We start from the raw sequence: 8,720 nt of genomic DNA, 5'->3' as shown, positions 1-8,720 counted from the left end.
GAGAGAGAGGAGAGCGAAAGAGACAGAGGAGAAAGGCGGGGGGAGGGAGCAAGAGAGAGAGAGAGAGAGAGAGAGAGAGAAAGAAGTGGGTAATACTAAAAGCCTGTATGGAAATTCACTGGGGATACAGATGTGCCAAGCGAGACCTTGCAAGACTTAGCAGAGCTTGCCTGCTGTAGGTGGAAGGCTGAAGAGTGATACTAAAGGTCATGCAGTGCTGGAAGACATTAGATTTCCAGCCCAGCAGTGCAGCAACTTCACTAATACCTTGAGCACTTAATTGAGAATCCAGAACCAAGTCTTAGGAGAAAGAATCACACAAAAGAGTAAGGGGAATATGCTAGGACTAAATTTAAAACCAAATAAGACTCATACTGAAAATGAATAATACCAAATTTGACATGACCCAAAGAATCCACCACTAATTAAGCTGCATGCCACACAAAACCTAATATCGTTTAAACAAGCCAACATAATCCAGATTCCCTATAATTATCACCTACAAATGTCCAGCATACTATTAAATTTTATCAGATATCCACAGAGACACATGTGAATCATAAGAGAACACGCAGTCTATTAAAAAAAATGTCTGTGAGATGATCCAGATGTTGGGATTAGCAGAAAAAAATTTAATCTAGCTTTTATAAATACTTTCAAGGACTTAAAGGAATAGAGTCATAATAAACGGGATATCAGCATATAAATGAAAACCTTTTTTTAAAAAAGACGTATTTCAAGAACTAAGAAGTATAGAATTTGAATTTAAAAATTCACAATACGGGCTTATCAGTAGATTGGACACTGCAAAAACAACAAAAAGTTAACTTGATGATATAAAAGTATTCAGTCTAAAGCTCAGGTAAAAAATTAATCGAGTCTTGGTACATAGCAATATGCAGTGGTCTTACATACATATAATTGGAGCCCCAGAAGGGGAGCAGAAGCATAATTGCACAGAAAAAAATATTTAAGACAATAATGGCTGAAAATATCTCAAATTATCATAAAAGAAATGGACAAATCTAGGAAACTCAGTGAATGCCAAATAGTCTAATTACAGAGAAAATCACACCTAGACACATTATGGTCAAACTGCAAATAACCAAGTATTGGGAAAGAAAAGTTTTGCAGGCAGTCCGAGAAACATAATACATTACACATGGACAAAAATAATAAAGTGATAGCTGACTTCTCATCAAAAAGAAGAAGTTAACATCATCAGAGGGCTTAAAGTGCTGATGGACAAAAACTGCCAATCCAGAATCCTATATCTAAAGAATCCTTCAAAACTGAAGGCAGAATAGACATTTTCAGATAAATAAAAACAGAAAATTCTACACCAATAGACCTCCACTGTAAGCAATGCTAAAAAAAATTCTTCAGGATGAAAGACGATGACATACCAGATGGAAACTGAAATCTGTAATGTTTTAGTTATTCTTTTGATGTAATATATTTAGTAATTTAAAATAATAATTATTTATTATTTCTACCTATTCTATAGCTTTGCTTACCTGGATGATTCTCCTGCTCTGGATATTATTGGCTGGGGTCACTCAGGTGGCTGCATTCAGCTGGATGCTTAGCCAGGGCTGGAACTTCCAAACTAGCTTCATTCACATGTCTGGTAGTTCAGCTGTGTGGCTGAAATGGTTGGGATGGTTGGCTGAAATGTTTTTCATTCTTTAGTAATCTACCCTAAACTTACTTATTTGTTGGCCAGCTTTCTAGAGGATAAAAGTAAAGGTGTATGGCTTCTTAGGGGCTAGGCCTAGAATTGGTATGACATCATTTTCACCATGTTTTGTTCATCAAAGTTAAAAGACCAGCCCAGATTCAAGGGGTGGGAACACAGACTTTATTTCTTATTTCTTTTTTTTTTTTTTGAGACAGAGTCTCGCTCTGTCACCCAGGCTGGAGTGCAATGGTGCAATCTTGGCTCCCTGCAACCTCCGCTTCTCAAGTTCAAGTGATTCTCCTGCCTCAGCCTCCTGAGTAGCTGGGATTACAGGTATGTGCCACCACGCCCAGCTAAATTTTTTTTTTTTTTTTTTTTTTGTATTTTCAGTAGAGACAGGGTTTCACCATGTTGTTCAGGTTGGTCTTGAACTCCTGACCTTGTGATCCACCTGCCTTGACCTCCCAAATTGCTGGGATTACAGACGTGAGCCACCATGCCCAGCTGATTCTATTTCTTAAAGGGAGAAGCAACATGCACATACAAGAATGTGAATACTTTTTGACAGCTATTCTTAAAGATAATTCACCACAAACAGGAAGGAATGAAAAGAACTGGAAATAGCAAAATGTAGGTAAATACACAAAAGGTAATATATACTTTTCTTCTCTTAATTTCTTTGCGATACATATGACTAAGGCAAAAATAACAATGTGCATAGATATGATATATATGACAACAAAGCACAAAGGACTTGGGGAGGTGGTAAGTAGAACTTTACTATTGCAAGGCTCTTTTATTTTACATGAAGTATCATAATTTTAACTCTAAGGCTGTGATAAGTTAAGAATGTATATCATAATTCTCAGAAACACTGTAAAGCAATAATGCAAAAAGATACAGTTAAAGCCAACAGAGGAATTAAGATGAAATATAAAAACATTAATTAACCCAAAAGAAAGCAGGAAGTAAAGAACAAAGGAACACAAAACTGAATGGGACAAATCGAAAACAAATAGCAAAATGATAGACAAACTCAACTATCTGTTGTCTATAAGAGAAGCACATTAAATTAAAAAACACAGGTTGAAAGTAAAAACATGGATAAAAATATACCAGTAAACAGTAAGCTAGGAAGGCTGCAGTGGCTATACTAATATCGGATGAATTAGACTTCAAGATAAGGAGTATTATCAGCAATAAAGACATTTCATAATGATAAAATGGTCAATTCATCAGGAAGACACACGAACCATAAATGTTTATATGCCCAATAACAGAGCTTCAAAAATGCAAAAGAAAAGCTGACAAAACTAAAGTAAGTGGCAAATTCACAGCCATAGTTTAAGTTTTACACTCCTGTATCAATAATTAATAGCAACACTACACATAAAACAATCAATACAATATAGAAGATCTGAAGACAACTATTAACCACCTTAATCACGTTGACATTGATGGACACAATGCTCAATAACTACAGAATACATATTCTTGTCTAGTGCTCACAGAACATTCACCAAGATAGACTATATTCTGGGCACAGTAAGTCTCAAAAAAATTTTAAAGTATCAAAATTTCAGAGTTTGTTTTCTAACCATGGCAGAAATAAACTGGTAATTTCCAATAAGACTAGTCATAAAAAAGATAGAAGATGCAAATGATCAATGTTTGTGTTTCATTTATCTATTCCTATGTAAGAAATCACTGCAAACTTCAGTGGCTTAAAATAACAACCATTTTATTGCTCACAGTGTTGTGAGTCAGGAATTTGTGTAGGACTCACTGAGAACAGCTCATGTCTGCTCCATGTGTTGTCAACTGGTCTCACTCATGTAGTTAGATTCAGCAAGTGCCTGATTTAGGATACACAGTCTGAGATGAATTTCTTCACGTGTCCGAAACCAAGATGCTGACTGTTGGTTCCATGTGGCCTCTCTTTCCATGTGGTCTTTCATACTGCAAGAGCTCTTTCTTCACGTGGCCACTGTCTCCAGCAGGATAGACTGGTCTTCTTTTTGTAGCTGCTCAGAGTACTGAAACATGAAAAGAAAAAAAAAAGAAAAAGGAAGAAAAACCTGTGTCTTTGAGGATACAGTCCCTGGGGTGGAATTCTAGCCCATGTATTTTGGTTTTCTCTATATTATTATCTGAGATGTTTTTATTTTTATGCTTTCATGCCACATTCCTTTTTTATTCTCGTTAGCTGTGATATAGGATAGTCTATTTATGATGAGGTCTCTTCAACTGTTTGGCTATGTGAAGTTTGTTCTTTAATAGATTGCACAGGAAGCGTTCATGGAAATAATATTCCTTAAATGACAGTTTGCAACTTTAAAAACAACATAATTCATCACCATATTAAGTTGCTCTGTAGCACAAAGTAATTGTAAGAACATGTTTTTCTTAGGACATGTTTTCTTATAGATTGAAATCTAGAAAAGTCTTTGCATGCTTTATGTTTTCATATTTGTCATGCCTTTTTTTTTTTTTTTTTTGAGACATGGTCTTGCTATGTTGCCCAGGATGGAATTGAACTTTTGAGCTCAGCGATCTTCCTGCCTCAGCCTCTGGAGTAGCTGGGACTACAGATGCCTGCCACGGCAACCTTCCCTCCTTCCTTCTTGTTTATGCTATTGGATGTGATCTAGTTGATTTTTTTTATCTCTTCTCTCCAACACATTTTCTGTCAGAATTGCAGCATGGGAAAGAAAAAGCATAGGTAGGGCACGTTTCCTACTGCTCCTTAGAGCTGTTTGAGAACTTCGAGGAAAATCTGAAAGCTCTTCCTCATTTTCGGGAGAACATAAACTTTTTTCCATGTAAAATCATTTCTGGGCTGGTTTTGGTGAATTTACACCTCAAGCCAATGGGAGAAAAGTAGCCAGACTAAGCCTCTAGACAAGAAAGTAATGATTATGTATGTTATTTTGTGTGTGGTCTCCTGGACTACGCATAATTTATGTTAGCCCTGCCTGTAGAGTTAGAGCACAAGCTTGAGTGAGGACTCAAGAACTAATGACAGAGAGAGCAGCAGAAGGAACTTTTCTTGCAAGTCCTTAACTACTGCATATTGTTTTATGCAGAAGACAACATAGAATCAACTATTTGTAGCATTTTAAGGAATCCATGTACAAAATTTTTTTTGACAGGGTCTCATTCTGTCGCCCAGGCTGGAGTGCAGTAGGGTGATCACAGCTCACTGCAGCCTCGACCTCCCTGGGCTCAGGTGATCCTCCCACCTCATCCTCCCGAGTAGCTGGGACTAGAGGCATGCATCATCACCCCAGCTTATTTTTTTTTATTTTTATTTTGTAGGGACGGGGTTTCATCATGTTGACTAGGCTGGTTTCGAACTCCTGAGCTCAAACTTTCCGCCTGCCTCGGCCTCCCAAAGGGCTGGGATTACAGGCATGAGCCACCGCGCCCGGCCTCAAACTCTTACCAGACCCTTTAATTTCCTCTCCGATACTCCGATTCTACTCAAACTGTTCACCTACACAGAGGAAACTCAGTGATTCCTGGGGGAGCCTATGCTATATTTGTGCATCCTCATTTGTGGACAAAATTCTTTCTTGCTGTGACTTGAAAGCAGCCTCCCTTTACCTTTCACTTATTAGTCCTAGTTCTGTTCTCTGCTGCTAAGAAAAAGGGTCTGATCCTTCTTTCACTGATCAGCCCTCCAAATATTGGAGAAGCACACTGCGTTTCCATGGGCCTGCAGTCCTTTTCCGGGATCATCTTCCCTAGAACCCCTCAACTGTCTCTCATTTCACACGGTTTAACCATCTTACCTTTAACCCATATTTCATTTGTTTGTCTCAATGTCCCTCATGAAAGTTGACCCAGACGGGTCCGCAGAACAACTTTTGCTGAGAAGGCAAAGGAAATTCTCGCCCAAATTGTGGAGAAGGCAGTCGAACCAATTAAACCTAAAGCTAAAACTGTAATAGAAAAGAACTTTCAAGCTCGCAATGAAAAGGCTATGCATGGATTTATCTCATCACAGCCACTAGCCACACCTCCACTCGTGCAGTGCGCCTGCGAGCCGAGCAGAAACCAATGGCCCATCGTAGTGAATTTCTCGGGTAAAGTGACATTCTCCGCTTTTGAATGCTCCCTTCGCCCAGCCGCCAACCCCTCGCCCCAATTTCCATTTTAAATGAAAGTCTCCCACTTTCTAGCTGAGACAGACAAAAATAAAACTCGGGCAAAACCAATCGCAGAGAGGCAGCTCACTGTCACTTCCTGGGTCACTTCCAGAAGTCACTTCCGGGGTCGAGGCGAGGCCAACGATACGCCTGCTGCAGCAGGAGGAGTTACGAGCCGGGCCGCGCGCTGCCTAAATACCTAAACCAGGTTTAGCGCCTGCTCATATAAAGCTCTCCTAACTCGTCTTCCGGTGGGAATTTCTTCACGTGGGCCGGAGTCGGAGACTGAGTTTAGCTTTACTGAGGAGCTCTAAATTTAGGCGGGTAAGTGCCGCAGATATCGCCCGTGGTTCCTGCGTTTAAATGGAACGGGAAGGGGTGTGTCAGGATTCATCCATGTTCTCCTGATATTTCCTCCTAATACCTGAAACCCTTGGGGTCTGAAAACGAAAGAAGGGGATAGAGAAGCTTTGGTTGCCGTGGCAACTGCGGGTCACCAATTTGGGTTTTTGAGGATTTGGAAAGGGAGGATTTGTGTAACTACTCCTGAAAACACGTGATGGGTCGGATTCAAATTCAGTTGTTACTTATAATTCATACTCCTAGCCACATGCTTTGAATTTAGAAGGTTTACTCTGGGTATAATGCAGAGATGCAAAATCTGAGCCAGGGTAATTGTTTAGAAAGCTGATGCGGTAATCTAGGCACTGTTTGAAGGGGTCTTGAACTAGAGTAGTGCTGTAGGATTGAAGAGGGGAAATAGGGGAAATTTGGAGGTAGTATCAGGGGCACTAATACTCGATTTCATATGGGTAATGAGGAAGGGGCCCTGAGCATCTTTAGGAGTAAGTCTAAACTCACCTTGGCTTATGATGATTTTTCTAGGTTCGTTTCTCACCTTCCGCACCCCTCCTCCACACGCACCTCGAATTCTAGTCATGCCAAGTAGTTTGGTGTTCTATTTCCTAGACTATCGTCCTCACCATTTTTTGTGATGTTAGGCAGGTTCCATCATTTCACTAAGCCCCTCAGTTTTTTCAACCTTCACATGGAAGAAAGTAATAGTACCCACCTCAGGATTGCTGTGGGGATTAAATTAGATAATTTATACTTCTAGTGCATAGTAAGGGCCTAATAAATATTAGCTGCTACTTCTATTCTTACTGTACTTTTCATATTGTTTTGTTATTATACGTTTTGCTGTTTCTTCGTCTAGACTTGAGATTTTTTAAATTAGAGGGGCAGTATCTTATTTATCTTTACATGGACTTGAAACATTAGTGGTTCGGTCTTTAATGGATCATTCATTTTGGCTGTTGCTGACATAGTTAAATTCATTTTTTACTTTAAAAGAGCTGACAGGTATAATGCATTTTGCTAATCAAATTATATTTATTAGATAAAAAGATAGCCGTTTTTCTGTACAACTCAGAAGACTGTGGATTAAGATGTACAGAAAGTAACTGATATCTCATCTTGTAATAGGTATGAGTGATTTCAGTGAAGAATTAAAAGGGCCTGTGACAGATGATGAAGAAGTGGAAACATCTGTGCTCAGTGGTGCAGGAATGCATTTTCCTTGGCTTCAAACATACGTAGAAACTGTGGGTAAGTAAAATAATAACATTGAGCCATTTTAACTTTAAGGAGGTGGTAAGATTCAATAGGGATACAAAATGAATAACCAGACTGGTTTAATTTTCAAGAGGAATATGTGGAGGGTTTTTTGGCTAAAAGCCAAAAGAAATCTTTTTTCTTTTAGAATTCTTTGCCCTTGGATTAATAATAGATAGTCTGTATTATGCTAGATACACATTTTTTCCAGTAATACTTACTGAGCACTTTTATCTCTGGCATTGATTAAATATTGGGGAGTCATAGGTGAAGATATGGTCTCTGCCATTGAGGAAAACATGCCTAGGAAGTGTTCAAGAAGTTGCTGTTGAATTGCATTGAAATTATTTCGAATAGAATTGATCGTGTAATAGATTTTTTTTTTTTTTGAGACAGAGTCTTGCTCTGTTGCCCACGCTGGAGTGCAGTGGCTAGATCTTGGCTCACTGCAACCTCTGTCTCCCAGGTTCAAGTGATTCTACTCAGCCTCCCGAGTAACTGAGATTACAGGTACCAGCCACCACGCCTGGCTAGTTTTTGTATTTTTAATAGAGACAGGGTTTCACCATGTTGGGCAGGCTGTTCTTGAACTCTTGACCTCAAGTGACCTGCCCACCTCAGCCTCCCAAAGTGGTGGGATTACAGGCATGAGCCACTGCACCCGGCCTAGATAAAAGAGCATTTTCCCCCATTTTTATCTAATGTAAATGCAAGCATGATTTTCTATGGGATAAAATTTCCCCCATTTTTATCTAATATAAATGCAAGTATGTTTTTCTATGGGATAAATTCCCTATAAGAATATATTTAATATAAGTATAAATAAAAGAAGCTATTATCTGTATGCTGGCATATTGAGTGGTATAGTCCTGGGATTACATTTGAACCAGCATTTTACTTACTGCCCTTAAATATGTGTTTTTTTGCCCAGCCTTTTCTCCCCTTGACAGAGATTCCTTGGCTCCTAAAATTTCGCTTCCATTTTTTTCTTTTGATCTAAGTATCATCCCATTTAATGATCTCAGTAAATTCTCAATAAATTTTTATGCTAGGCAGTTTAGGTAGGATGAAACTGAATCTCAAAGACATTAAACTCTTAAGTGGTATCAGGAGTCAAATCCAGGTTTGTCTGATCTCAAAGCTTACACTTTTAACGACTGAGATGCATTTTTAAAAATGAGACAATATATGTAAAGTACCTAGCATAGTATCTCATGCATAATGAGTGTTGAAAAATAATAGTGCCTTTCCTCTCCTCATTTTATTTTTGCTAG

General features: G+C 38.8%; 1 protein-coding gene and 1 long non-coding RNA gene across 12 annotated transcripts in view, besides 2 other annotated features; one reads left to right on the top strand and one right to left on the bottom strand.

Moving 5' to 3' along the window:
- Window positions 1-3,249: 3,249 nt before the first annotated feature.
- TAF1A-AS1 (TAF1A antisense RNA 1) lies at window positions 3,250-5,963 on the bottom strand. 2 transcript variants are annotated; one of them, NR_110613.1, is made up of 3 exons: window positions 5,921-5,963; window positions 5,476-5,625; window positions 3,250-3,717 (listed from the first exon to the last, which is right to left on the bottom strand). It is a non-coding gene; the product is annotated as a TAF1A antisense RNA 1 (long non-coding RNA). The 2 variants fall into 2 exon arrangements; NR_110614.1 differs by having other exon boundaries at window positions 5,476-5,924.
- Window positions 4,917-5,449: an enhancer, noted in NCBI's record as "H3K27ac hESC enhancer chr1:222763776-222764308 (GRCh37/hg19 assembly coordinates)". NCBI's record gives its function as "activates a minimal SCP1, AML or CMV promoter by ChIP-STARR-seq in primed H9 embryonic stem cells {active_cell/tissue: H9 hESC(primed)}" and the evidence as "EXISTENCE:reporter gene assay evidence [ECO:0000049][PMID:30033119]".
- Window positions 5,450-5,983: an enhancer, noted in NCBI's record as "NANOG-H3K27ac hESC enhancer chr1:222763242-222763775 (GRCh37/hg19 assembly coordinates)". NCBI's record gives its function as "activates a minimal SCP1, AML or CMV promoter by ChIP-STARR-seq in primed H9 embryonic stem cells {active_cell/tissue: H9 hESC(primed)}" and the evidence as "EXISTENCE:reporter gene assay evidence [ECO:0000049][PMID:30033119]".
- The window catches only part of TAF1A (TATA-box binding protein associated factor, RNA polymerase I subunit A), a 35,829-nt gene continuing 33,058 nt past the window's right edge, over window positions 5,950-8,720 (top strand). For 9 of the 10 annotated variants that reach the window (XR_007064852.1, XR_007064851.1, NM_139352.2 and 6 more), the window contains exons 1-2: window positions 5,950-6,156; window positions 7,318-7,440. Coding sequence is in view for 6 of the 10 variants with exons in the window: in NM_001201536.1 (NP_001188465.1) it covers window positions 7,320-7,440 (121 nt within the window). In the remaining 4 variants the exon portion in view is untranslated. Of the gene's footprint in view, window positions 6,157-7,317; window positions 7,441-8,720 lie in introns of those variants that run through there. The other variant, XM_047433596.1, reaches the window with a different exon arrangement.

Source organism: Homo sapiens, chromosome 1 (assembly GCF_000001405.40).
Source record: "Homo sapiens chromosome 1, GRCh38.p14 Primary Assembly".
Lineage (NCBI taxonomy): Eukaryota > Metazoa > Chordata > Mammalia > Primates > Hominidae > Homo > Homo sapiens.
Note: the sequence above shows the minus strand (reverse complement) of the source record. Positions and strands in the feature narration are given on the sequence as shown.